This window comes from Homo sapiens, chromosome 10 (assembly GCF_000001405.40).
Source record: "Homo sapiens chromosome 10, GRCh38.p14 Primary Assembly".
Taxonomy (NCBI): domain Eukaryota; kingdom Metazoa; phylum Chordata; class Mammalia; order Primates; family Hominidae; genus Homo; species Homo sapiens.
In genome coordinates, this window is record NC_000010.11 from 13,703,661 (window position 1) to 13,730,502 (window position 26,842).

At 47.3% G+C, this 26,842-nt stretch overlaps 1 protein-coding gene, 2 long non-coding RNA genes and 1 pseudogene across 9 annotated transcripts in view, besides 9 other annotated features; 3 read left to right on the forward strand and 1 right to left on the reverse strand.

Annotated features, from left to right (window-relative positions):
• The window catches only part of FRMD4A (FERM domain containing 4A), a 687,219-nt gene that overhangs the window by 59,955 nt on the left and 600,422 nt on the right, over nucleotides 1–26,842 (reverse strand). For 3 of the 4 annotated variants that reach the window (NM_018027.5, NM_001318336.2, NM_001318337.2), the window contains one exon: nucleotides 3,377–3,453. In NM_018027.5, the coding sequence (NP_060497.3) occupies nucleotides 3,377–3,453 (77 nt within the window). Of the gene's footprint in view, nucleotides 1–3,376; nucleotides 3,454–3,685; nucleotides 3,908–26,842 lie in introns of those variants that run through there. The other variant, NM_001318338.2, reaches the window with a different exon arrangement.
• Nucleotides 3,842–4,577: an enhancer, noted in NCBI's record as "NANOG-H3K27ac-H3K4me1 hESC enhancer chr10:13749502-13750237 (GRCh37/hg19 assembly coordinates)". NCBI's record gives its function as "activates a minimal SCP1, AML or CMV promoter by ChIP-STARR-seq in naive and primed H9 embryonic stem cells {active_cell/tissue: H9 hESC(naive and primed)}" and the evidence as "EXISTENCE:reporter gene assay evidence [ECO:0000049][PMID:30033119]".
• LOC124902379 (uncharacterized) lies at nucleotides 3,906–4,750 on the forward strand. Its single transcript, XR_007062061.1, has 2 exons — nucleotides 3,906–3,992; nucleotides 4,095–4,750. It is a non-coding gene; the product is annotated as an uncharacterized LOC124902379 (long non-coding RNA).
• Nucleotides 3,986–4,035: an enhancer, noted in NCBI's record as "active region_3058". NCBI's record gives its function as "activates an Ori minimal core promoter by ATAC-STARR-seq in GM12878 lymphoblastoid cells {active_cell/tissue: GM12878}" and the evidence as "EXISTENCE:reporter gene assay evidence [ECO:0000049][PMID:35858748]".
• Nucleotides 4,066–4,115: an enhancer, noted in NCBI's record as "active region_3059". NCBI's record gives its function as "activates an Ori minimal core promoter by ATAC-STARR-seq in GM12878 lymphoblastoid cells {active_cell/tissue: GM12878}" and the evidence as "EXISTENCE:reporter gene assay evidence [ECO:0000049][PMID:35858748]".
• Nucleotides 4,186–4,245: an enhancer, noted in NCBI's record as "active region_3060". NCBI's record gives its function as "activates an Ori minimal core promoter by ATAC-STARR-seq in GM12878 lymphoblastoid cells {active_cell/tissue: GM12878}" and the evidence as "EXISTENCE:reporter gene assay evidence [ECO:0000049][PMID:35858748]".
• Nucleotides 6,828–26,667, forward strand: LOC105376426 (uncharacterized). Of its 4 annotated transcripts, none has more exons than XR_001747371.2 (4): nucleotides 6,828–6,994; nucleotides 8,262–8,354; nucleotides 21,477–21,601; nucleotides 23,662–26,667. It is a non-coding gene; the product is annotated as an uncharacterized LOC105376426 (long non-coding RNA). The 4 variants fall into 4 exon arrangements; XR_930684.4 differs by lacking the exons at nucleotides 6,828–6,994; nucleotides 8,262–8,354 and adding an exon at nucleotides 14,477–14,584 and having other exon boundaries at nucleotides 23,662–23,787; nucleotides 25,626–26,667; XR_007062058.1 differs by lacking the exons at nucleotides 6,828–6,994; nucleotides 8,262–8,354 and adding an exon at nucleotides 14,477–14,584 and having other exon boundaries at nucleotides 23,662–23,723; nucleotides 25,626–26,667.
• Nucleotides 8,044–8,910: an enhancer, noted in NCBI's record as "H3K27ac-H3K4me1 hESC enhancer chr10:13753704-13754570 (GRCh37/hg19 assembly coordinates)". NCBI's record gives its function as "activates a minimal SCP1, AML or CMV promoter by ChIP-STARR-seq in naive H9 embryonic stem cells {active_cell/tissue: H9 hESC(naive)}" and the evidence as "EXISTENCE:reporter gene assay evidence [ECO:0000049][PMID:30033119]".
• Nucleotides 8,911–9,775: an enhancer, noted in NCBI's record as "NANOG-H3K27ac hESC enhancer chr10:13754571-13755435 (GRCh37/hg19 assembly coordinates)". NCBI's record gives its function as "activates a minimal SCP1, AML or CMV promoter by ChIP-STARR-seq in primed H9 embryonic stem cells {active_cell/tissue: H9 hESC(primed)}" and the evidence as "EXISTENCE:reporter gene assay evidence [ECO:0000049][PMID:30033119]".
• Nucleotides 14,735–14,784: an enhancer, noted in NCBI's record as "active region_3061". NCBI's record gives its function as "activates an Ori minimal core promoter by ATAC-STARR-seq in GM12878 lymphoblastoid cells {active_cell/tissue: GM12878}" and the evidence as "EXISTENCE:reporter gene assay evidence [ECO:0000049][PMID:35858748]".
• Nucleotides 15,005–15,064: a silencer, noted in NCBI's record as "silent region_2158". NCBI's record gives its function as "represses an Ori minimal core promoter by ATAC-STARR-seq in GM12878 lymphoblastoid cells {active_cell/tissue: GM12878}" and the evidence as "EXISTENCE:reporter gene assay evidence [ECO:0000049][PMID:35858748]".
• RNA5SP301 (RNA, 5S ribosomal pseudogene 301) lies at nucleotides 24,136–24,256 on the forward strand (annotated as a pseudogene).
• Nucleotides 24,528–25,382: an enhancer, noted in NCBI's record as "H3K27ac-H3K4me1 hESC enhancer chr10:13770188-13771042 (GRCh37/hg19 assembly coordinates)". NCBI's record gives its function as "activates a minimal SCP1, AML or CMV promoter by ChIP-STARR-seq in primed H9 embryonic stem cells {active_cell/tissue: H9 hESC(primed)}" and the evidence as "EXISTENCE:reporter gene assay evidence [ECO:0000049][PMID:30033119]".

A 26,842-nucleotide genomic window follows, 5' to 3' on the forward strand; every position in this document is an offset into this window, starting at 1 on the left:
AGGCCACAAGCAATAGGATGACACATTCAACTTAAAAAGCACCGCGAGGTTCACTTCAAAGTAACTGGAAGAGAGGACTTGCAATGATACCAACATAAAAATAGTAAACACTGAGGCGGGTGGATCACGAGGTCAAGAGATTGAGACCATCCTGGCCAACGTGATGAAATCCCATCTCTACTAAAAATAAAAAAATTAGCTGGGTGTAGTGGCGCACGCCTGTAGTCCCAGCTACTTGGGAGGCTGAGGCAGGAGAATTGCTTGAACCTGGAAGGTGGAGGGTGCAGTGAGCCGAGATGGCGCCACTGCATTCCAGCCTGGGGACAAAGTGAGACTCTGTCTCAAAAAACAAAACAAACAAACAAACAAAAAAACACTCAAGGCCATGGATACCCCACGTACCCTGCCTTGATCATTCCATGTTCTATGCATGTAACGCACTCACACGTGGCTCATGAATACGTGAAATAGTAACTCTCAATACAAGAGAAAAAAGGCACCACTAGGATGTGAAAAAGAGAACTGAGTGCAAGAAAGATCTTACAGCTCATAGCTCTGGCTCTGCCATGCTAAATAACTGACCTGAAGCCATTTCCTTTCCTTGTGTGTCTTTAATGCTGAAGTCATCCCGGGTCTCCACCTCTGGCCTCCCTGGGCCTCTCCCCCATTCCTGCCTGTCTGCAGGCTAACTCAGTGTACTCAGAGCGAGTTTGCCTGGGACGAGACAGCTCTGCTTCTTCCTCTGGGCTCCTCCAACTCCCACTTCCCTCCAGCCAGACCCTCCCTCATTTGTTTATCCTAATTGAGAAGCCCCCACCTGACATCTATATCCCCCTGAGGCCCTACCACGTGGCTTTAATCCTAGTTACCCCTCCAGGTCCAACTCAGACCTCTCCTTCCTGGTAAGCCTCTCCCTTCCTGACCAGCCAGGCCTCTGGTGACCCTGTCCTTCACCCTTCATGGCCCACGACGTCTGGCCCTTCTGTACAGTATAGAGATAAAGGGCATGAGCTCTGGAGCCAGACCTCCTAGGTTCAAATCCTGCCTCTCCTGTATACTAGCTACTTGTCGTCTAGAGCAGGTTTCTTTGTTTCTTGTGACACTCCATGAGTTCCTTCTTCTCAGCCAGGTTCCAGGCAGTGGCTCACGCCTGTAATCCCAGCACTTTGAGAGGCCAAGATGGGAGGATTGCTTGAGCTTGGGAATTTGAGACCAGCCTGGGCAACACTGTGAGACCCAGTCTCTCCAAAAAAAAAAAAAAGCTGGGTACGGTGGTGTGTACCTATAGTCCCAGCTACTCGGGAGGCTGAGGCTGAGGTGGGAGAATTGCTTGAGCCTGGAAGGTGGAGGCTGCAGTGAGCTATGATTGCACCACTGCATTCCAGCATGGGCGACAGAATGAGACCGTGTCTCAAAATAAAAGTTCCTTCTTCTGCCTGTCTTCTCAGTTACACTAGAAGATCTTTAAGGAAGAAGACCCTGCCTCCGACTTCCTTCCTTCCCCGCCACAGCACCCGACAAGGACACAGAAGCTTCGCAAGAAACATGACATTGATCACTGCTGTCTAATAGGCGACAGGCCCACTGAATAGTCACGTGTGAGATCTAGATTCTTTCCTATATCCCTGGGCTTTGGTAAAGAGAGTTTAGCAGTACTCACCAATAGGGCGACAGACGCACAGAGAACACGAACACACATGTGCAGATATATGCGTGCGTGGTTAAAGGATTTGTCCAAGGTGCCTGGGTGTTCACTGAATTCCCAGCAGAGCACAGGCATGGCGGAGGGTCTATTCCCTGCGCTCAGCCCCTTAGATTACCCAGCCCCTCATTTTTATCCTATGGAGCATCCCCTTTCTGCATCTGACCCATTGTGGCAAAGTTCATTTCACTCTTTCTGTACTTAAATTTCCCCTCTCTTACATGCCTAAGAACCTGGTCCAATTCAGTTCACCTGGAAAATGAACAGTGAGTTTCTTCTTGGCTGGAATCTTATTTTTGAAATCTCCCCGCCCACCCCACTTGGCCTGCACAGATGGATCTGTGCTCCATGGAGTGGGGCTTCTGGCCGCGAAACCCCTTGCAGGGCCCTGAGAAACACCGGATAAAATATTTTTCTGTTAAAGGCTACCATTTTCACCTGACTGTGGAGATGCAGAAACTCTCAGCTGCTCTCCACTAACTATTCCTGTAGTAACCGTGGTGCTGAGATAAGCTCTTGCCCTACACAGGAGTGGCTGTTTCAGGCAGATTACCCTGGAGGGCAAGCACGGCTTCATTCCTACCGGGTTATCATGGGCTGCAGGAACAGGGGCTACTGCACAGGTCCAAGCCCTCTCACTGGGCGGGGTAACTCCAAATCTCCCTCCTGTCCAGAGCTCATGGGGAGGGACTGCAGCTTGTTTTGAGCATCAGAAGCCATGTGTGAGCTGGAATTGGTGCCAAGTCCTCCTTCTAAGCCCAGGGCTGGAGCGTCAACAGCGCCTAAAACCCACTTTTGCTCCTCTGTAGAGTCTGATCTTTTTTCTGTCTCCCTGGGGCTACCTTCTTATTGTAAATGTCTCTGACCTTATGGAAAGTGATTTCTTAGTTGTCAGGCCTGGTTTTAGGGAATTACGCTGCTGTTTTTGGGGATGCATATAACTTTAGGTCCAGCGGCAGACAAAGAGAGGAAAACAGTGGGTATGAGCTGCCCAGACCCCAGCCACCTGGGGCTCCCTGCATTCCAACCTGGGGCCCCACTGTCTTGCATCTGACTTAAGAGTACAGGGACTTTTTACAACCCTGGTGCTCTCTGGGGTACGATTTTGGGTGGAGGGAAAAATAATTTCATTTCTTTCACATCCACCCACAATACTAACATCCTAAAATTACAGCTCCTGGAATAAAACAACGTAGCACAACTGCTTTGGTGACAAATTCATTTTCGCATTGACCGTCCTGCCTGAAATACTTTTAGAAGCTCTAATGAGGGATTCTTCAGACTCTTCTATAGCAAAAGTTTCCTATGGGGACTTACTGGTGTGTGTTACAAAGTGCTATAAAGCTTCCTTCCAGTGCCCCGGCAGGTAAGACAAACACATACACTGACACACACACACACACACACACACACACACGAGCCAGGGACACATGTGGCCAGATGAGACAGTCAGGGGATTGCTACTTACACACACGTGCGAACCCACTGCATTTATCAACACATGTAATTGAAAAGAAAGTTTCACTGTCTGATTTGAGCTCCATTCCCCAGGAGCCCCCACCCTCGCTCCCTGCTCCAAACTGACCATGAACAACGACAGCCCCAAAATAATATCCATAACACGCCCGGCCGAGAGCCACGCCATCCCGCAAGAAAAGGACTTTTCAAGCTTACCTGCGTGGGTCATGAACTTCCACGGAAAACTTCTTTTCTCTGAAGTACAGGTTTTCCAACTGTCTCCATTGGAATATCTGGACAGAAAACAGTGTAGTTTAAAACTCAGGAGGGGCTGGCTCCTGGGCCATCTTCCCCTCTCTGCTGGTTAACTTTCGACAGCTGGCAGTTTCCTTATCAAAACAGAGACCGTAGTCTGTGCCTCCTCCGCCTCTTGCTTGACACACACACACACATACACACACACACGCAGCTCTCCAGTTCAAAACCAGGCAATGTGGGTGTGGATTTTCCTGCAGGTTCCTTAACTGGAACAAAACAAGTTCTTTTCAAGTTCTCCGCCTTCGGTCGGCCTTTGTTGGTTTGGTCGTGGCAGTCCCCAGCTTGGCAGACTTTTCCCTTCCAGGAGAGGGAGGAGAGGTGGAGACCGGGGAGAGGGACCCAGCAGGGAAGGCGGCGGGTGAGGGGAGAGGAGCGAGAGGAGCGAGCGCTCAGGAGGGAGCGGTAGCCATCTGCGTGGAGTGCTGAACTGAGCTTCCTCCCCTCCAGTGCTGAAATGGGAAGGCGTTCAAATTCCCAGCCTCCCATCGGGACTCCACTTCCTGCTCACTAATGTGTAAGAGCCTTGCAAAGGGCGGAGGAGGCTGGGACCTTATTTCGGGGGCAGGCAACTCAAGATCACAGTGTGAGCCTGTCAAGCCCATTCTTCTTGCTGCAGCACAAAGAAAACCAAGAGTTCTGTCGCCCGGAAGGACGCTGCGGCCAGAGTCTCTCCCTCAAGCTTGGCCAGGGAGGGTGAGAAGTGGAATGAAGGGGCCCTGGCGGTCATTCCTCCTTCGGACCAGTGAGCTCGTTAACTGAGAAGCTGACTGTAATGTTTGGAAGTAATTAGGGCTGCATCCAATTGCTCCAGGAACGGGGTTCCTTTCATTGGATGAAAAAGAAAGTTACTTTAACCCTCTGGGAAATATCACAGGAGGTTCAACTTGTGTGCACACACATTTGCATTAATATTTGCTGGTTACTGCATCACCTTCCACATACTGGGAATTTCGGTTTATTTTGCGGAAAGAAGGGGTAAAGTAGGAATCTTGTTCTTGTCTTTCTGCGGGGAACAGCTTCCCTGGGCTCCCCCCTTTCTCTGGCCACTGAGTTAAATGCTTTTCAGGGTCTTACCCCAGAGTCCTCGGACCTCAGGCTCCTGACCCTCTCTGACCTGCTCATGTTCTGCCCACCTTAGAGACGTGATGGCCATTTCCTGTATCTGACCCACCCTGTCTTCCCAGGCTGGGGACACTGCTAGTCAATGGTTGGCTAGTGGACCTAGCACCCCATATAAAACTGGGCTGGAATAAAAACTGCTTCTGGAATGGCCACATTCTTTTATCCTCACAATCTGCTCTCTGGAATTTTACAATTATTTTGTCTGCGTTAAGTACTGGGAAGGAGAATATCTATTATCTCTTATTACAGAGTTGCCTCTTTTGTCCCCGGCTCAGAGTGCATTTCACTCTGAAGCCCAAGGAAATTGTATTTTTCTTTCTTGTTAAGCATCAACTCCAGGTGGGTGGAGAGACACTGCAAGGAAAGCAAATGGCCCAAAGCTCTATGTTGGCTGACAGCTTTGTGTCAGAGATTCAACAGCGCCTTAGCGGAGTCTATTACTAAAATACACAGACCCAGGTCTCATGGTCCTGTCTGATGCTTGGCCACTATAAATCCTTCCATTAAAACACCCAAATTTCCTCTCTGGTCCCCAGGTATTATATATTCAGCGACATTCCACCTGAACTTAGCCAGAGCTACAAAAATACCAGAATGAACAGGTTCCACGACATTGGCCTCATAGCCTGGGGGCAGTACACTGAGCAAAGCGGTCAGGCAGGCAGGCTTTGTGGTCTGACTACATCTGTTTGAATCCAAGCTCCACTACTTTTTTTTTCTGAGACAGACTCTCACTGTGTCCCCCAGGCTGGAGTGCAGTGTCACGATCTCGGCTCACTGCAACCTCTGCCTCTCGGGTTCAAGCGATTCTTGTGCCTCAACCTTCCAAGTAGCTGGGATTACAGGACTATGCCACCACACCTGGATAATTTTTGTATTTTTTAGTAGAGATGGGGTTTTGCCATGTTGGGCAGGCTGGTCTCCAACTCCTGGGCTCAAGTGATCTGCCCGCCTCGGCCTCCCAAAATTTTGGGATTACAGGCGTGAGCCACCGCACCCAACTCAGGCTCTAAGCTGCTGGACCTGACACAAGTTACAGCATTTCCTTTAGCCTCAGTTTTCCCCTCTGTAAAATGGCAAAAATAACCCCTCTAAGGTAGATCTCAGCAGCCACAGATCGTAGCACAGTACCGGCACAAAGTGACCTTAGATCTTACTATGAATCCCAAATGCTCTTACTTCTCCCAAATCCTTGCAGATTAAAAGAGAGTAACTCCAGAACAACCAGAATCATTCTTTTCTTAGATTTCCTAACTCAAGCCCTGAGTTTTGGATTTAAAAAAAAAAATATGTGTGTGCTGCAAATCCTTAAATACAGAGAATTTTTCTCCCAGTGCCTCTCCCCTCCTCTCACGTAAGGGATGTGGATGGTACTTCAATGAAAGGGTCCTGTTGGCTGCATACCACGGCGGTCCCTCAGCCGCTATCCTGCACCCGCCTTGCTCAGGCAAAGTGAAGTCTTGAACAGGATCGGCCTTCTGGGTGTGCGACCTGAGGGCCCTTTGCTCAGAAGGTCCTTGGCTTGATTTCCTGCTCTGCTGTTGATATCTTGAAATTCCTAACAGGTTTTTTTTTCTTTCTTTATATCTTTATTCTTTTTTTTTGTCTTGTTGCTATACGCTTTTTAAAAAATTAATTTCCATAGGTTTTTGGGGAACAGGCGGTATTTGGTTAATTAGTTCCTTAGTGGTGATTTATGAGATTTTGGTGTGCCCATCCCCTGAGCAGTGTACACTGAACCCACCTAATGGGTTTGATCAAGGGGCCCTGCATTTCCATTTTGCACTGGGCCCTGCTCATTGTGGACTTGATCCTGGCCTTAGGTCCTGGCATGTACTGGTGCTGGCAGGCTCTGTGGGGTAAGGTGCCTGCCAGCCTAATGGGCAGGCCTGGGAGGTGGAACCCTCAAGCCCTCCAAGAGAAGGAAAGAAAGCAGAACCAGGTGTGAGCACGCTTGAGAAAACCCCTGTGCCTTTCATGGGAAGCCCCCCTCCCCACCCGATGAAGAACCCCAGAGCAGAATGCTCCGAGGGGTTGTTTCCCTGGCAACTCCTGTCTCCCCCATTCCATGCAAAATAAAACACAAACCAAGCTTTGCTTTAAGTGCTCCCTGATGCAGTTCAGCGTGGAGAACTGCGCGTCTGCCAAAGAGCCCGAACAAAACCATCTGGACTCTGCTGCATGGCCCCGTCTGTGGCTGCTGTAGCTGCCCGTGGGAAGGCCCTGCCTCCAGCTTCTGCCCTTGGCTGCGAACCATGGAGTCCCGGCTCCCAGGCCTATCCCCGGGATGATGCACTAGACATTTTTGTGGCAGGGTGCAGAACAATGGATTCCCCCTGATGCTTGCTTTAAGCATGAATTTTTGTTTTGCAAATGCAATCCTGGGAAGGAAGGGTAAGAGTAAAGTGAAGGGATGGGTGGTTTTCAGGATCAGATTGTTGCGTTGAGACATTAGAAGGGCCCAGGAATGGGCTGGGTATGGTGGCTCATGCCTGGAATCCCAGCACTTTGGGAGGCTGAGGTGGGCAGATCACTTGAGGTCAGGAGCTTGAGACCAGCCTGGGCCAACATAGCAAAACTCCGTCTCTGCGAAAAATACAAAATTTAGCTGGGTGTAGTGGTGGGCACCTGTAGTCCCAGCTACTTGGGAGGCTGAGACAAGAGAATCACTAGAACCCGGGAGGCAGAGGTTGCAGTGAGCCAGGATCATGCCACTGTACTCCAGCCTGGGCGACACAGCAAGGCTCCTTCTTAAAACAAACACAAAAACAAAAGGGTCCCAGGAACAGAAGAGAAGGTGTGCATGTCAGAACAGTAGCCTGATCTGACTTCTCTTCACTTAGGAGGGAGGGGGTGAGCTAGGGAGCAGGAATATGAAGGCAGTAGGGACCAGGAGGGTGGAAGCAGCTGCCCCTTGCCCAGGGCCGGGGTGCAGCTTGCTGGAAAAGCATCATTTTCTTCATGGGGTCTGGGGCATTTCTGCCCATGGGCCCTTGAGGCTTAGAAGTCCTGCCTGTTAAATACCTCACTCTGAGGCTGGCAGAGCAAACACAACAATCAAATCAACAAACAGGAGATGCTCCACCTTGCCTCCCCTTTGTAAACAGGGTAAGGTGGGCTCTGACTGAGCTGGTTTCGGGGCAGCCCCGATGGTCTGCGCCACCTCAGGGGAGCCTCCCGAGCTTGCGCTGGCTCAGTGCAGCCGTCATAACCCACCACCATGTAAAGCTGCCAACACACTCTGCCTCTCCGCATAAAAACACAGCAGGCACCCATAATGATCATCAGGATGACTGGGCCGGTTCCCTTAGGGATTTGTGTAACGCCTATGGCCAATTATATCCAAGGAGCTAATTAAAAAGCTAAAATACTTAGTTCTACCAATAATCAAAGAATGTATTAATTCATACCTATTAAATCAAGGGGTTTCTAGTGCACGTCACTTAAGCATCTTTAAAAAGCCCTGCAAACATCGTTCCTTTGATCTTTTGGCATCCCTCAAGAAGATCAAGTGGGAAATTTACTTCTTGGGTGAAACAAGGCCCAGAGAAATTAAGGAAAACTGCCTAAGGCCACACAGCAAGTAAGTGAAGGAACCAGAAATAGAAGTCAAGGGCACCTGGTCCATTACTCTAACCTCTAACTATGTTGCTTTCCCCAGGAGTCCACCAATTAGTGGGAACAGCTCTTACTGACTAATGGATGGTTAACTTTACAAGTGGAATGATTTTTACAAATGAGCTACAATATGACTGTAAGTAGAAAGTAAAAAAGCAAATCTTTTTCATCCTGCACCATGGCCTGGCTTTCCTTTTATACGGTAAATGATAACAAGTATTCTTTCCTTCTATCCTTGGAGTCCTGGCTTCCTCTAGTTTTCTATACAGCAATGCTTCAATACTCAGTAGCTTTCAATACTCAATGCTTTCCATACTCCAAAGACTAAAACACAACGACAACTGTGATGAAGGACAGCCTGGGCCAGGCATGGTAGCTCACGCTTGTAATCCCAACACTTTGGGAGGCCAAGGTTGGGGGATCACTTGAGGTCAGGAGCTCGAGACCAGCCTTGTCAACATGGTGAAATCCTATCTCTACTAAAAATTAGCCAGGTGTAGTGGCACGCGCCTGTAATCCTAACTACTCCGGAGGCTGAGGCAGGAGAATCGCTTGTACCCAGGAGACGGAGGTTGCAGTGAGCCGAGATCTTACCACTGCACTCCAGCCTGGGCAACACAGTGAGACTCCATTTCAAAAAAAAAAAAAGAGCAACAACAAAAAAAACAGCCTGGATGATCTGGACTTGCGTGAAACAAAACTTAGAGGAAACCACCAAGTAGTGGCTTCCTTGAGACTATGTCTGTCCCTGTTGTTGGGACTGGCTGATACTGGATGTGGATTCTTAGTTTCTGACCTAGACTTGCCGTGACTCCCAATGCGATCACAGGTCCTCCACTTCCCTGTTCTGGGCCTCAGTATCTTCATGTATGAAAACAGGAGGTGGGAAACACTTATCCACGGAGTGCAAACAAAAGTGGGTAATAAATACTGCCTTTGAGACCTGAATGCAACAGGGTCCACTCTAAGTACTTAATGAGCAGGGACCAGTTACTGGTTTCTATTAGATGGCCTGCTGGATTCCCACATCCTGTATTTAGCTGAAGGCTGGGGCAGAGGAAGGGGCTTTGGCTCCACTGGACTTCCTCCCCAGCCAGCATTTATGGAGAGCTGGGACTGCATGTGGAGTGGTGGGCAAGCTCCCAGGACGATGTGGAAATAGACGCTTGAGAGGAAGCTCAGTCTAGTGGCTCTGATGCTTGACTAGGACTTTGGAGAACCTCGTCTTCCCCCGCTGCCCCTGAGGCTGAGTCACCAAGCTTCTTAATGATCTCCCTATGAGTAACTTCCTGTTTCATCCAGGGGGGCTATTACACAGAATCACAGCAGCCATCTGGTCCACCTCCTCCTTGCACAGATAAAGTAACCCCAGTAGAGAGAGGTTAAGGGATTGGCAGAGGTTAAATAAGTAATTGATGATGGGACCCACATCTTGTGACTTCTGGTCCTGGGCTCTTTCTAACACACCATGAAGCTCTGACAATGAACGAGAACAAAGTTGTTTCAAGCTTCTTGTTCTGAGTCTCTATATAAGAAGAATTAGACTCATGGACAGGAATAATCTCCAAGCTCAGAAGAAAACATACAAACTGAAAAACTCACTTCCTTATTTCATTTCTGCCCTTTTTACTTTCTAGAGCAGACTGGCACTTGCAAATCTTTAGACGGATTTACATTTTCAGCAAATACAAATGAGTTGTTTCACATCTAGAGGGCTGCAGGGCAAAAGAAAGGAGTCACTGAACCCGAATCAGATGGAATTTAAAATGTGAGAGCACCCAGAAAGCTCCAAACCTGTGCTCTCAGAGGACTGGATCCCATGTGCCCTGGTAAGGTTTTGCTATTGGAGCACAGCCGGTTCTAAGGGGCAACAGAAGTAGGTATATATACACATATATATAATATATATACATATATGTAATATATATACACATATATATAATATATATACATATATGTAATATATATACACATATATATAATATATATACATATATGTAATATATATACATATATAATATATACATATATGTAATATATATACATATATAATATATACATATATGTAATACACACACATATATAATATATACATATATGTAATATACATATATAATATACATATATAATATACATATATAAAATATACATATATATATATATATATATATATATATATATAAAATATACTTTTTTTTTGAGACACAGTCTCACTCTATCCTCCAGGCTGGAGTGCAGTGGCACGTTCTCAGCTCACTGCAACCTCTGCTGCCTCCCGGGTTCAAGTGATTCTCTTGTCTCAGCCTCCCAAGTAGCTGGGATTACAGGCTCCCACCAACATGCCCAGTTAATTTTTGTATTTTTAGTAGAGACGGGGTTTCATCATGTTGGCCAGGCTGGTCTCGAACTCCTGACCTCAGGTGATCCACTCGCCTTGGCTTCCTAAAGTGCTAGGATTATAGGTGTGAGCCAACATCCTGGCCCAGGTATATGTTTTTAGTGGGTTGAAATCATATGTCAGAGGTTTTTTTTTTTCTATCAGTTTTTTAGGCATTCAATATATTTTACTTTTTACAAAAAAAGAAGACAGAGGCAAGGCCCTTGGGTTTCAGGCAGCATTGAATTCCCATTCCCTTTCCAACCATTCATGTAGTAGTCTTCTACTTTGTACTGGACTGTTCTCATAGGCAAGAGGAAACACATGGTGCCTAATACATGTTTATATTTGTAGCGAGCTTACAATCTACTTGGGAAGACAAGACATACATAAAGTAGCTGTATTCATGCTACAGGAACCCATGATTCCTATAGCCAGAGATGGAAACCATCTCTGGTTTCTGTACCAGGCTTTACAAACTCTATAGAAGTGCCGCACTGCAGGCTGGGCATGGTGGCTCATGCCTGTAATCCCAGCACTTTGGGAGGCAGAGGTGGGCCCATCGTGAGGTCAGAAGTTCAAGACCAGCCTGGCCAACATGGTGAACCTCTGTCTCTACTAAAAATACAAAAAATTAGCTGGGCGTGGTGGCTCACGCCTGTAGTCCCAGCTATTCGGGAGGCTGAGGCAAGAGAATCACTTGAACCCAGGAGGCAGAGGTTGCAGTGAGCGGAGATCATGCCACTGCACTCCAGCCTGGGCGACAGAGGAAGACTCCGTCTCAAAAATAAAAAATTAAAAAAAAAAATTAGAAGTGCCGCGCTGCCTCATTCACATATATCTCATGCTTTTGTCTCAAATAATCAGTATTCATGACTCTTGTTTACTCTTGATTGTTTTGGTTTTCATTTTTAGGAGCAAGAACCCTGGGTGGGAGGTCAGGAGCCCTCAGTTCTAGCTCTGACTTTGTAGAGCCCTCTCCATCTTAGCTTCGTCCTCTCTAAAACGAGGGGGTGTGTGGGCATTCCTACATTCTGTGCATGGGTTGAAGGTCAGCATTGTAAATCCAGAGAATGTCAAGCTGCAATTCTTTGGAATTTAAAAATAAAGTAGCTTGAGTTAAACATTTCCTACCGATGGGAGACAATATAGAATAGCATGGATTAAAAGCATGGTTTTCAACGTCATACTGTCTGCCACTTACCGGCTGTGTATTCTCAGCAATTGAATTTGTGCCTTAGTTTTTTCATCTTTGAAATAATAGGAATAATAGCACTTTTCTCATAGGGCTGCTGTACTAATGAATTAATATATGTTAAATGCTTAAAATGGTGCCTGGTACATAGTGCTGAAGAAATAATATGAGACTGGTGCAGTCAGTGGCTCTTGCCTGTAATCCCAGCACTTTGGGAGGCTGACATGGGTGGATCATCTGAGGTCAGGAGTTTGAGACCAGCCTGGCCAACATGGTGAAACCCAGTCTCTACTAAAGATACAAAAATTAGCAAGGCGTGGTGGCATGCATCTGTAATCCCAGCTATTCAGGAGGCTGAGGAAGCAGAATTGCTTGAATTCGGGAGGCGGAGGTTGCAGTGAGCAGAGACGTGTCACTGCCCTCTGGCCTGGGTGACAGAGTGAGACTCCCCCCTCAAAAAAAAAAAAAAAAAAAGAAATGCTATGATTGTACACATTCCCCTCCGTCAATTACATACCAATATTATTGTTCAAGTAAAACATAAAAGTTATGAATACTTTGAACACATATCAGCACAAAGTACAGGTTTGTGTAATGTTTTTTTGAAAGACAACTCATATGGTGTCATGAGCATTGCAAAAACTGTTTTCTGTGAAATTGGATTGTTTACAATGCAAGGAGAAGTTGGACCCAGGGTCCCCATTCATTCGTTTGTGCTGGAGTTTGCTGTATTCTCTTTGGGGTTGTTTATTCCTAGTCTTATTGGCCAATTCCTCCGTCCACTGCAATCTTGACCAGAGTCAGTTTTGACCATTTTCCTGTTATGACTTCTAATCTCAAAACATTCACCCTGCGAAAAAAGTATCCCATTGTAAGATGACTCAGTCTTACACAGAACAGAGTGGGCTATAATGGGAACATATCAGGCCCTCCCAAATACCCAAACAATGACGGCAGATCACTGGCTTCCTAAATGGGTCTGAGGATGTCCTCCATCACTTGCACTGAAAGAGGCATCTATCTTCTTCAGAGATGGCCACACACCCAGCACAGGAGACAATGGCTAATTCTTCTCTGCAGCCAGGCCTAATGGAATCAAGATGTTCTTCCGGCCAATTGCGTCTTCCTCATTGTCAGACAACGCGAGCTCTAAATTGATTTGGTTCATTCAGTGACAGATACCCAGAGCACCGGGCCTTGACCCCTTAATGGATGGCCTCTTTTTAACCCATCAAAAACCTCTTAGCTTCCTTTGGCTTAAGAGTCATTACTAGGGGAAAAGGGAGAAAGAGGTTAACAAGTACTTGACAAGCCCATTGAGACGCAGGCCATTTTGTTTTTCTCCATTGGACTTGATTTCCTTGTAATTTTCTCCCTAGAGGCCTCTCTCTGTATTATTTTCTTGTGTGTATTTTGGCTTTTCTTGCAGAAAGACTTCACCATAAAGCTTTGATGAATGTAAATACTTTCAAGAGAAGCTGGAATTGTTTTTCCTTTCCTATCCTCTGCCCCCTGATGTAATTCCTTCCCTCCTCAGAGTGCCCCAAGGGACTGGCTGGGGTCAGTGGGTTGAATGGCTGAAGCTGTCCAGTGATTTGGAATATCTGGGTCTAGCTTTGGTTTTTCTAGCAATGAGCACTGTGACCCAGTGATGTGTGGCTTAACCTCTCTGTGCTCCAGTCTTTCCTTGAAAAAAAGCCAAGGCTAATTCTACCTGCTATGACAGACCTCAGTGGGATGCTTCAAAGGGGAATTAATCAATCTGAGAAATACTTGGTACATCTGGGGAGAAAATGATGGTAGGCCATTTCACCTGCTTTGGCCAAGGCATCTCTTTCCAGATTGGTGTAAAGTTATTTTTCTTAAAATTTTTTAATTTTTGAGATGGAGTCTTGCTCTGTTGCCCAGGCTGGAGTGCAGGGGCATAATCTCGGTTCAGAGCAACCTCTACTTCCCGGGTTCAAGCGATTCTCCTGCCTCAGCCTCCCGAATAGCTGAGATTACAGATATATGCCACCATGCCTGGCTAATTTTTGTATTTTTAGTAGAGATGGGGTTTCGCCATGTTGACCAGGCTGGTCTCGAACTCCTGACTTCAAGTGATCTGCCTGCCTCAGCTTCCTAAAGTGCTAGAATTACAGGCATGAGCCAACGCACCCGGCTAAATTTTTTTTTTTTTTTTTTTTAATCAGGGTTTGACTACTTTGGAGGACAGGCTTTAGGGAGAAACCTGTTGTTCTTGTTTTTTTTTTTTTTTTTTCCAGGGGTGGCGGGGGGGGTTGGCAGTTGGCATTTCTCTTATGCCTGCTCCAGCTCTATCCAGAGACGTGGCATCATAGAGACATCCCGATCTCCTCTGTGGAGGTCATCGGACTGTACGGAAGATGGGGATGGGATAGAAGAAAATGGACTGGCAACCAGCTCTGCAGGGAAATACAGGCATACACTCACAAGAAACACCGTGCTTTATCACCCATAACAAAAAGAAAACGAAATGTCAATACTCTGCCCTAGCGATATCTGTGCGAGGCAAAAAAAGAAAAAAGCAAGCAAGCAAACCAGCAAGGGCTTTGGCGTTTGGGAATAATTATTTAACAGCAGCTTGTTTGCACTTTGGAACACCTCGTGCTTCCAGAGCCGGCCCATCCTGCTGGGGAGGGGAGAGGTCCCAGCGCTGCTGTCTGGCAGACCTTGGTTTCGGTGGGCACCAGAAGCGAGGCAGATTGCTTGCTGCTGCAACTTCACGCGTGAGCTCCAGGCTCCCCTGGTTGGAAGGTGCCAGGGAGTGAGGCGGGTGAGCAGGCATCAGGCCAGGGGTTTGTGGTTTGCTTTTCAAGTCAGGCTGCTGCTGGGAGAAGGAACGCTTGCGGTCTCGCCAGCTGCTCTGCAATTGTGGCGGCAGCCAGCAGAGATAGGAGGCGGTGGGCCTGCCCCGCTCCAGCCTGGACTTTCCACTTGGAGGGCCTGACTTCTCCGCTTGACCCGAGACATGCAGGGGGCTGCGGCTGGGCCACGGTCTCTGCAGCTGGGGCCTTTCTCTCTACGGATCCTCTTGCGGGAGCAATTTGGTATCTGCTCTGCGAGGTTTCCTTCCAGAAAGAAGTGAGGACTTCAGATCTAGACTTTCTGTCTTTCCAGGAGGGCTGGTCCTATTTAGAGCTCTGCTCTTTCCCCCAGAGGACTTCTGCAGTGTGCAGATTGACTTGGGGAAACTGAATTGTGGGGAAGAGGAGGGGCGGAAGCAGAGGAGGAAGCTGAGGTGTCTACTCTGCAGCCTGCCTTAAACAACTTTCTTTTCACCAGGGCTATCCCAAGCCTCCCAAAATTCCCAGCCCTGGTCTGGGCCAGTTCTCCCAGATATTCATACACATACCTCTGCCAAAGCAATGATCATGTGGTGCCGTAATGGCTTTTATGCTCTAATGTCTTCCTCAACCAGACTCAAATTTCCTTGAGTATGTTTTCCTGGCACCTAGCATGTACCTGGGGGCATATTAGACACTCAATAGTTGTCTGTTGAGTGAGTGAATGAATGAATGAAGAGCTTTTTGAGATATTAGCTATTATGACAACTGAAGTTCAGAGAGGTTAAGTCACTTTCTCAAGGTCACACAGACGCCACATGGTGGGAGGTGACACTTGAGCCCTCCTCTGTCTGCTCGACTCCATGCTATTTCCACCATGTGAGGAACCTCCAGTGGCTGAACCCAGATATATTGTTAAAAATACATTTCTAAGCTGCAAGGGATGCGATAATAGGGAAATGGCAGTTAGAGTCAGCTCAAGGAGGGACAATGGTAAGAGCCACAGCCGAGGAGCCGTAGCCCTTCTTTCTGGCAGCTCTGTTAGAACTGAACTCTACTCTTCCAAGGTGAACTGGGGAAGTCTACGATTCCAGCAGCTCATGGTCTCAAACTGGAAGCCTACTCCCAACCTAGAGGTCAGATCTTTACAAATCATGTTGCCTAGAAATTGCCTCTGTCTGCTTGAGGTGGTCAAGAATGACCCCAGGCAGGTAGGACCCCGACTGTAACACCCTTGAGCCCTACTTGCAGGTGCCGATTCACAGCCCAAGGCGGGCAGGCAGAGTTGGGCACAGCATGTTCTGGCTGTGTAAGGTTTGGTGTTAAACAGGTTTACATTTTCCGGAAGGTCAGTTCAGCCTGGGCTTCCCCTCTGAATCAAACTCATTAAGAAGAAGGAGGGGGAAAAAAAGCCTTACACAGCTTCCTAAGTATTGGCTGGTTCAGCAGAAACAAGCTGTTAAAACTGGCCAAGACAAAGAGGTTACCAGAAGTCGACAAGCAGGGTTTCCCAACTGAACAGATCCTTAGAAGAAAGCAAAGAAGTCTAGATTAACCAGAATTATTCAAGGGTCTGCAGTACTCCAGCAATTCACTCAAGATATCCTCATTACTCTGTGTTCTTTTGGTGCTATGGACAAAAATAAAATCAAAGGAGAGCCCAGATGGGAGCAATTTTTATGCTTTTCATTTTTTCATCAGCAAACCTAAGCTGTAAAAAGCCAGTCCCTCTCCTCCATTCTCCTCCCAACTATCTTGCTCTCTACGTGGAGCTCTCTGCAACCCTTCCTTGGATGAGTTATATTCTTTTTTGAGACAGAGTCTTGCTGTGTCGCCCAGGCTGTGGTGCAGTGGGGTGATCTTGGCTCACTGCAACCTCCGCCTCCTGGGTTTAAGCAATTCTCCTGCCTCAGCCTCCTGAGTAGCTCAGACTACAGGTGCGCGCCAGCACGCCCAGCTAATTTTTGTATTTTTAGTAGAGACGGGGTTTCACTATGTTGGCCAGACTGGTCTCAAACTCCTGACTTCAGGCGATCCGCCCACCTCAGCCTCCCAAAGTGTTGGGATTACAGGCATGAGCTACTGCACCTGGCCCCAGTTATGTTCTTAAAGCATCAATCAATGAGGCCACTATCCACAGACATAAGGAGGAGTCTGTGAAATTAGCAGTGGGTCGCAAAAATGATTAGATATTCTGCTCCGGCAACTTTTATCCATTCAACAACCACGTGTTGAGTAGCTACCATGGACCTGGCACTGTGTCAGGCACTGAGGATACAGCAGTGTATCCTGCACATTCTTATGAAGGGAGAGGTGGGCAAATAAATAAGAAATAAATAAGAAAACTACGTGGTACATACAGTAAGTTAGAAGATAACAGGTTTGAAGCACAAATGGGAACCAGGGAAGGATAGGACAGGGTTTGCCACTGTTAACAAGGTAGCCAGGGAAGGTGTTGGTGAAGTGACATCGAGTCAATATCAGAAAGAAACCAGGGGCAAAGCTGGGCAGCTATGTGAGGGAAAAGGATGACTGCAGATACAGAAGTCAGGGGCGTCATTTGTGTGTTTGTGTTTGCTGTACAAGTGTAGAAAATGCTGAAATAAACATCAAAGGACGATAGAATATTATGCAGCCCTAAAAAAGGAATGCAGTACTAATGTGTGCTGCAACAGGGATGAACCCTGCAAACATTCTCTAAGTGAAAGAAGCCAGACACGAATGGCCACATACCATATGGTTCCATTTCTAGGAAATGTCCAGAATAGGCAAATCCATAGGGACACAAAGTAGATGAGTGGGTGCCTTGGGCTTTGGAGGATGGGGAGAAATGGACAGTGACAAGGTACTCCCCTTGTGGCCCTCTGCTCTTTTGCCTACTGAATCCTAGTCTGGATTAATCACAGATCACAAGACAGTCTTTGATTAAAACTCAATGAAACTCTGGCTGGGCCTAGAGGCTCATGCCTGTAATCCCAGAAATTTGGGAGGCTGAGGTGGGCGGATCACCTGAGGTCAGGAGTTTGAGACTACCCTGGCCAACATGGTGAAACCCCATCTCTACTAAAAATACAAAAATTAGCCAGGCGTGGTGGCAGGCACCTGTAGTCCCGGCTACTCAGGAGGCTGAGGGAGGAGAATCGCTGGAATCCAGGAGGCAGAGGTTGCAGTGAGCCGAGATTGCGCCACTGCACTCCAGCATGGATGATAAAGTGAAACTCTGCCTCAAAAAAAAAGAACTCGATAAGACTTATTATTTAAAAGGAGCTAGCAGTCCAGGATAAAACAGAGGATCCCTAATTTTTAGTGGCATCCCTTGTCCATAAAAAGCTCCCCGACCCTTGTCAGATGGCACTCCCACTAGGGCCGTCTTCTCACATCTGCTCTGGGGGTCTCTACAGAGGGCAACTCACTTCTTCCAGCCTGTCAGCACCAGGCCGGCTGGGGCAGCGGCACCTCAGGGTGCTGTTCTTCTACCTCGGGGATGGGCAAGCACTCTCTCATAGACACGGCTAGTGAGGAGTCTGGCCAGTGATCCATTTTGTAAATGGGTTTTCAAACCTTAAACATAAACTCAATTATGTCCTTAAAAATACACATGTGCATGCCTAAAAATACACACACACATACAGAGGAAATTCTCTCAGCTGTGACTTCTACTGCTCATTAAAGGTAGGACTGGGGTTGGTTTTCAGTCAAACGTGAGGACGGAGAGAGGCTGCAGGGCAGAGCTCCTCTGGCTCTTGGCCTTCCTGTTCAAAGGCCAGAGAAGAGACACCCATGACAAGGCTGTGCTCGCTCCAGGGGGTACAGGGACCCCACGCAGTGCAGCAGATGCCAGGGTACACCTTTCAGAAAGATTATAAGCATTGGCAAAGAGATTTGCAAAATCCCGTGCAGCAGAAACACCTGTTGGAAAAGCTAGAGAGAAAGAATTGGGTGGTTGCATGAACTATTCCACTGGCCAGGGCTCTTTTTTTTTTTTTTTTTTTCCTGACTCAGGGTCTTGTTCTGTTGCCCAGGCTGGAGTGCAGTGATGCGATCATAGCTCACTGCAGCCTCGAATTCCTGGGCTCAAGTAACCCCCCCACCTCAGCCTCACAGGTAGCTGGGACTACAAGCATGCACCACCATACTCGGCTAATTAAAAAAAAAAATTTTTTTTTTTTTTGTAGAGTCGAGGGTCTCTCTATGTTGTCCAGGATGGTCTTGAACTCCTGGCCTCAAGCAATCCTCCCGCCTCAATCTCCCAAACTGTTGAGATTACAGGCATGAGCCACTGTGGCTGGCCTCATTGGGACCCTCTGGTCTTCCCAATCACTGGTTTGATTCTCACCTACACAGGTTTGTCATGAATTATGCTGTCTGTGAGTAACTTCACCGCTGCCTAACTAGAGCCATAGGATAGTAAACTGGAAGTTCTGGCTGACATTTTATGATGAGCAGTATCACTAGAGAGGGCCATGAGCAGACCATTCCACAGGAGAGGTGAAAAGCAAGGGCAGGGAGCCGGTTAGCTGGGTATCCACGCTGGTTAGATAGATCTCCATGCTGGTTAGACAGATCTCCATGCTGGTTAGCTAGGTCACCATGCTGGTTAGGTAGGTCCCTATGTTGGTTAGCTAGGTCACCATGCTGGTTAGCTAGGTCTCCATGCTGGTTAGCTAGGCTTTTATGTTGGTTAGCTAGCTCACCATGCTAGTTAGCTACATCCCTATGCTGCTTAGCTACATCCCTATGCTGGTTAGCTAGGTCACCATGCTGGTTAGGTAGGTCCCTATGTTGGTTAGCTAGGTCACCATGCTGGTTAGCTAGGTCTCCAAGCTGGTTAGCTAGTTTTTATGTTGGTTAGCTAGGTCCCCATGCTAGTTAGCTACATCCCTATGCTGGTTAGCTAGGTCACCATGCTGGTTAGCTAGGTCTCCAAGCTGGTTAGCTAGGTTTTTATGTTGGTTAGCTAGGTCACCAAGCTGGTTAGCTAGGTCAACATGTATCTTTGTTTGCCAGTAACCCTGGTTTGTTTGATATCATGGAATAATTATTCACTAATGTCCCTTTTCATTTGTAGTGGTATCTTGGTTTGGATATTAAAACCCTATGGTTACTAAAAGACAAATAACTTTGATTCCACTTATATGAGTGTTCAAACTCACAGAAACAGAAAGTAGAATGATGGTTCCCAGCAGATGGGGGGAGAGAAAAGAGGAGTTATTGTTTCATGGGTAAAGTTTCAGCTTTGCAAGATGACAAGAGTTCTGAAGATCTGTTGCGCAATGATGGGGATATACCTTACTGAACTGGCCACTGAAAAATGGTTATGATGGTAGATTGTATGTTGTGTGCATTTTATCACAATTTGAAAAATATCTTCTGGTTAGATGACCCCGAAAATCCCTCACCCACAATTGAGGTATAAAGTGTTTAGGAGGGTGGAAACTGAGAGAGCATTTTTAGAAATGTTCTTGAGAGGGAGATGTTCTGTGAACTCTCTGCCACCCACAGGGGGAAGGTAGAAGATGTACTCTTCTCCTTCAACCTGGAAAGAGAGGGTTCATTAGGGTTACCTGGAGAGCTTAATAGGTATCCCCTGACATCAGACGAACTGAAGCGGGGATGGAGCTCAGATGGGAGAATGGAGAGATTTAACTTTAGAGCAAGTTTGAAGCTTTGATTGTCATAAAGAACTGGACACTCTAATTTCTTAATAAAAGCTTATTTTGCTATTTAAAGTGACTGGGTGACGTTGTAATACCTGGGAGTGATCAGAAAAGTCATGGGACTGCCCGTGTTTTTATTGAGAGATAAAGGAAGAGCATGTTCAAAGGAACAGTGGGAGATAAAAGAGATTTGTCAGCCGGGCGCGGTGGCTCAGGCCTGTAATCCCAGCACTTTGGGAGGACGAGGCAGGCGGATCACGAGGTCAGGAAATCGAGACCATCCTGGCTAACATGGTGAAACCCTGTCTCTACTAAAAATACAAAACATTAGCTGGGCGTGGTGGCGGGCGCCTGTAGTCCCAGCTACTCGGGAGTCTGAGGCAGGAGAATGGTGTGAACCCGGGAGGCGGACGTTGCAGTGAGCTGAGATAGTGCCACTGCACTCTGGCCTGGGTGAAAGAGCAAGACTCTGTCTCAAAAAAAAAAAGGAGATTTGTCTATTCAGTCCCAGGTGGTCGATGTTCTTATTATCCTAGCAAAGTCTTCTGTCTTCCAGCTAGAGAAACCAGATCTGTTCATAGGTTACTACCGGTTCATGGCTTCTTTTGGAGCGAGCGAGGCTATTGGATGCTCCTCTGCAGTGGTTTGGGATCCAACGATAGCATTTGGTTTTGATTTGCTTCTTCAAATTGCATCCAAGGTCAACGGGGCTCCCTGAGTAATGGGAATCTGCATCTGTAGAGTTATTTAGAAGCCAGCCAGTCTCAGGGCGGCTGCTACGTCATCTGGCTGGGTGTTTATTTGCATGTTATAAATACCAAGTGTTGTGTTTGACCCCTACTGTCCACACAATCAACGTGGCTATTTATATGGCCTTTCTCAGTGCTGGTCCACGTGCCTTTTCAGGGGCAGGGAGAACAGCAGGTCGAGGAGACCAGGCATTGTGTGGGAAGCAGATGAATCCTGGGAGACACATATCCCCAAAGACATATCAGCTGCAGTAGGAAAACCGCTTTTGGTTATTTAATCAGATCTAGCTTGAGCACTGGCTCCACGGGAGTCAAAGACAGACGTGGGGTTACCTACTTAGAAACTGGCATTTTCCCCTCCTACCACTTTCTTCTGGAAAACTGTTGCTTTTCATCCTTTCTTTCATTCATGACTCCCCTCTGGCTTTAAAATGAGCTTGCTTTATTTACCTTGTTTTATTTCTCTTTGTTTCTAGTTTTAAGATTCCTTCAACATCAGGATTCCCGATCATCTCATCAACCGACTTGTTAAGAAAACTGAGGCCCAGGGAAGTGGCTCACAATTGTGTAGAATTGTGAGGTGTCTTGACTGCTGGGCCAGGTATCCGGCAAATAATGGCAGGGGGCAGGGGCAGGCGTGCAGCACCCCAAGGGTATGTCAGGCCTGGAGACTGACTTCAGAGACAACTTGGGGAGATTCTTGGAGCTTGAGTGTACCCCTTCCAGGAGGTGCCTCCAAGCTTGTCACCCTGGGAGAGATTTAGACCTGCCCCTCTTTAGGGGATAATTACATTCCTCCCCTCCTGTGACTTTCCAGATTAATTACTCTCATGCAATAGTTGCTCTCTAAGAATTATTCACCTGGACAGGGCAATGCTTTTTTTTTTTCTGTTCATAGACAGGTCAACCTTCCTCAAAGGTGACAGTCTGACACCAGCATGGGCTTCAACAAGAACACAAGATACAGGCTGGTGCCCTTGGGAGCTTGGCTTACCCAGACCAGTCTCGGGATGGCCTTCCCAGGGCCCTGTGGGAACCGAGGAACCCTGGCTTCCCAGGTCCAGTGACCAACAAAAAAATAACCCTCTTCACAAAGAGACGTTGTTTGCTTTTCGAGGCCATCCCACCTCTTGTTTTCAGTATAAATGACTGTAACAATATTTGCTATGTCAAGGCCAATGCCACTTTTATCCTGGGGAATGAGAAACTCTGTGACAAGTAAACTTATTCAAGATGGAGAAAATTAGACTACATCTATTCTGTGTCTCTTAGTCCCCACTTCACAGATATAAAAAGAGAGGCACAGGGAGGTTAAATAAATTGCTAATCATGACTTTCTAAAATAAACTGGAAGTGAGTTAGTGCCAAGGAAGTGAGTTAGCGCCAAAATTCTTTGGTCAAGAAAATTCTTCTTTGGGGGCCTGGGCAACATGGCAAAACCCTGTCTCTGCAAAAAATACAAAAATTAGCCGAGTGTGTTGCACACGCCCGTGGCTCCAGCTACTAGGGAGGCTGAGGTGGGAGGATTGCTTGAGCCCAGGAGGTCAAGGCTGCAGTGAGCTATGATGGCACCACTGCATTCCAGCCTGGGAGACAGAGTGAGACCTTGTCTCAAAAAAACAAAACAAAAACAAAACAAAACAAAAAAGAAACTTCTGTTTTGGGTCTTGGAGTGGATATGGAGGTCATGAAGGTCGTGAATTTACAAAACATCTCTCTCTTTTTGTTTAGAAGTGTAACTGCTCTAGGAAAGAATTTGACTTTAACTCAGACTAAAATGTCTTCATAACAACAGCAAAACAACGAAGTAGGATCTCATAGAAAGGTCCTCGTTAACTGCCTGTATGCAGAGCAGTGGGCCTTAAGCTCCACTGCCTGTGCTCAAGTCACCTTCAAGGCTTGTGGAATTAGATTGCGGAGTCCCATCCTCAGAGTTTCTGAGCTCGTAAGTCTCAGGCGGGGATCCTTAGTTTGCATTTCTTTCTTTCTTTTTTGAGATGGAGTCTTGCTCTGTTGCCCAGGCTGGAGTGTAGTGGTGTGATCTTGGCTCACTGCAGCCTCAACCTCCTCAAGGCTCCAAAGTAGCTGGGACTACTCCTTTGTATTTTTGTATTTTGTGTGTGTAGAGATGAGGTCTTGTTATGTTGCCTAGGCTGGTCTCCAACTGCTACCATCCTCCTGCCTCAGCCTTCCAAAGTGCTGGGATGACAGGTGTGAGCCACCTAGCCTGGCCGTTAGTTTGCTTTTTTTTCTGAGACAGGGTCCCACGATGTCGCTCTGTCGCCCAGGCTGGAGTGCGATGGCACGACCTCGGCCACTGCAACCTCTGCCTCCCAGGTTTCAGTGATTCTCCTGCCTCAGCCTCCCTAGTAGCTGGGATTACAGGCACATGTCACCACACCCAGCTAATTTTGTATTTTTAGTAGAGACGGGGCTTCGCTATGTTGGCCAGGCTGGTCTCATATTCCTAACCTCAAGTGACCCACCTGCCTCAGCCTCCCAAAGTGCTGGGATTACACATGTGAGCCACCACACCTGGCCAGAGTTTGCATTTCTAACACATTTCCATGTGATGAGGATGCTGCTGGTCCAAGGACCACACTGAGAACCACTGCTGTAGAAGATACCATGCAGCACCGACCAGCCTCTTTCTCCCTGCAGGACTGAAGGACGTACGCCCTCTCCCGGAATCGTCTCAGCTACAGAGAACCACCTTGCCCAAGGTCACCACCCTCTTGCCAAGGGGGTCACTTGGATCTAATGATTGGTTAATGCTGGGGGGAGGGGGTAAGTCTTGGCCCCCAGCCTCAACAGTGATGGCGGTGGCTCCGGGGTCATCCTAGCTTCCGAGTTTCGTCTAGGTTGAGGGCGCCATGTTGGGACTGCATCAGCTTCTCTCTCTGCCTGGTTCTGCTTCCTTTACTTTACCATTTGTTGTTAGTCCAGGGCACACCCCAGTAAACTTCCTGCATGCGAGTTCATCTTAGACTGCTTCCCAGGGAATCGTATGTACAACACTCGGGAGTAGAGAGTCACTGAAACGGCCCTAGCTCTGAGAGACCCCTCCTGACCAGCCATCACCCCTCCCGCTCTTCCTTACTCTGATTTATTGTCTTCGTAGAATTTAACTCTCAGGTCTATGGCCATACTGCCCTGAATGCGCCTGATCTTGTCTGATTTCAGAAGCTAAGCAGGGTCGTGCCCGGTTAGTACTTGGATGGGAGAATTTAGTGCTCGAACACTATTGCTGTAGCTTTCTTTAATAAATAAATTTGACTGCCTTTCCTGCTAGACTGTAAGCTCTGTGCATGCAGGGACATAGTCTCTCTTGTTCTGCAGAGCCAAGAGCAGGGCCTGGTACCTGACAGGCACTCGGACAACACGTACTGAACAAGTGAATGAACTTCCAGGCAGGAAGAGTCACACATCCTCACCAACAACTCCTAGGGTTTCAGAGAACTAGAAAGTCTAGGAATACAGAGGGTGCTTTCAAAAGTGTTGTCTGTAATTGGAAATGCCTTATGTTTGTTTAGTGCTTTAGTTTTATTCATTTTTTTTTAAAGCAGTTCATTCAATATTGATAGCAACCCATATTATCATAAACCCCCATGTGGTGGGCAAGATAGAGGGTTGCTTTGAAGCACTGGGAGAAGAGAAACCGGCCTTGGTGAGTTGAGTCTCTTGCTCAGCCAGGCCCACATGGAAATGCTGGTATCCTGCCTCCTGGACCCATGGTCCTGTCTCTGTATCATCAGCAGAAGCAAACTCAAGTCAGTTGCCACTGAAACTCACCGAGTCTGACTTTCCCCCATGAATACTCATATGGGGGCCATTTTATTGGAGAGGATTTCATATTCACCACCCTGTACGGAATTCTAAGTGCTAGCTCAGTGCTTTCAGGTGATTACCATTCTTTTTTTTTTTTTTTTTGAGATGGAGTCTTGCTGTTGCCCAGGCTGGAGTGCAGTGGCGTGATCTCGGCTCCCTGCAACTTCTGCCTCCTGGGTTCAAGCAATTCTCCTGTCTCAGCCTCTTGAGTGGCTGGGATTACAGGCGTATATCACCACGCCCAGCTAATTTTTGTATTTTTTAGTAGAGACGGGGTTTTATCACGTTGGCCAGGCTGGCCTCGAACTCCTGACCTCAAGTGATCCGCCCGTCTCAGCCTCCCAAAGTGCTGGGATTACAGGTGTGAGCCACCGTGCCCAGCCGATGACCACTCTTTAGAGTTTGGGATTATTCTTCCAAATGGAGATGATTCAGCCATGTCTGATATTGGTGATTTGAGAAGGAGGATGTCTAGGATTGATGCTTTGAGAAGACGATCTCAATTTTCTTAGAATATGATTCCTTTTGTCCTTGGAGAGTTATTTTTAAGTAGCAGATTCTGGGAACTCCCCATGCCCTCCACCTCCTACTCCCAAATTCCGCCCCCGCCCGCCCCCGCGGCCAAGTAGGCCTGGTCTCTAGACGCATGGAAAGCGTTCAGGTCCACTCAGACTGTGCTGCGATCTGAAAGAATGATAACATACGAGAAGGCCCTTTGGTCCTACACTGTGAATGAGTAAGGGGCAGCTGCAAAATGCTAAGAATGCTGAGTGCATTAAGTGAAGTGTTTCTCCCAGGTGTGCACAGGGTGTGGCTTCCAAGGGGAATGTGGATGCTGGAATGAGGGAGGCAGCCACCTAGGCCGGTCAAGTCAGAGGCCCAGCAAGGAGAAAGCGAGCCAAGGCAAACGCCGACAGAAGAGAACGATAAATCCGCGGCGCACTCGGCAGAACGTACACCGCACCGCATAATTTAGCGGGGCAATGCCGCCGGGAGTCCACGCCAAGTTAATGGAATATTTCCTGTAAATATTATTTTCCCTTCCTGTCTCATCATCTCATTTCATTCAAAAATCTTTACTAATCCGGGGGAGTGAAAGTAATGCATCAATTTCCAGAGCCAATGCCCCTGCTTCCGAAATACCCTTAGGAATCACTGGAAGCCACCGCGGCTGCTTAGGGACAGGGGGGCAGGCCGTTTACTCTGGTTCCTTCTCCTAATGCCTCAGAGGGGACCCCATAGTGCTCCTAATTGTGCATCTAAGTGTACATAAAAGCCCCCCTAATTGCACATCAAATAAATAAGTAAATGCTGTCTGCTGAATATGTAACAAGGACTGATGTTGCTATTTCTTCCCAGGGGGGAGATTTCATTAAATCTGGGCTGCATTTCTAAGTGATGATTTACAGATATTGAATATTCTTTACAAGGGAGGCTTTTTTGGAGTTATGTGCTTCACAATATTTGCTCTAATGCTTAAAGCCTCAGATACAGCCTGCTGGAGGTCTCTTTATTCTAACTCTTAGTGTCCTTTTGGAAAGTCTTTTCTGCTTTAATGTGTAATGGCTTCCGATGATCAGATGGCTGGTTTGTCTGCAGGTCTGGGGACTGTGCAACCCCCTGGTCTCCCAATGCCTCAGTTACTGACGCTGCAAACAAGGCAGATTGTCCCAGAGATTAGAGCTCTCAGGCTTTCTCGGGCTTCAATCAATCAAAGGAACGTAAGGACCCCTCCCCTACAGAGAGAGCCGGACGTGAGCCAGATTTTGTCCAGACTTACTTATATCTGCCCTGTGGGATCCCGATTCTGCAAGATTTAATAAACAATGCCTCAACAGATAGCATTTAATTTTCATTCAAACGTTTCCAGGGAAGAAAGAGGTAAAACTCTTGCTTGTACCAGCACAACTGCCCGAAACCCGTGGGATACCCAGTCTGAGGCATGTTGCTATCGACAGTCATTTCACACAGCTGGCAGTTTTTTCTTTTCTGATGGCCTAGCTCTCTTTACTCC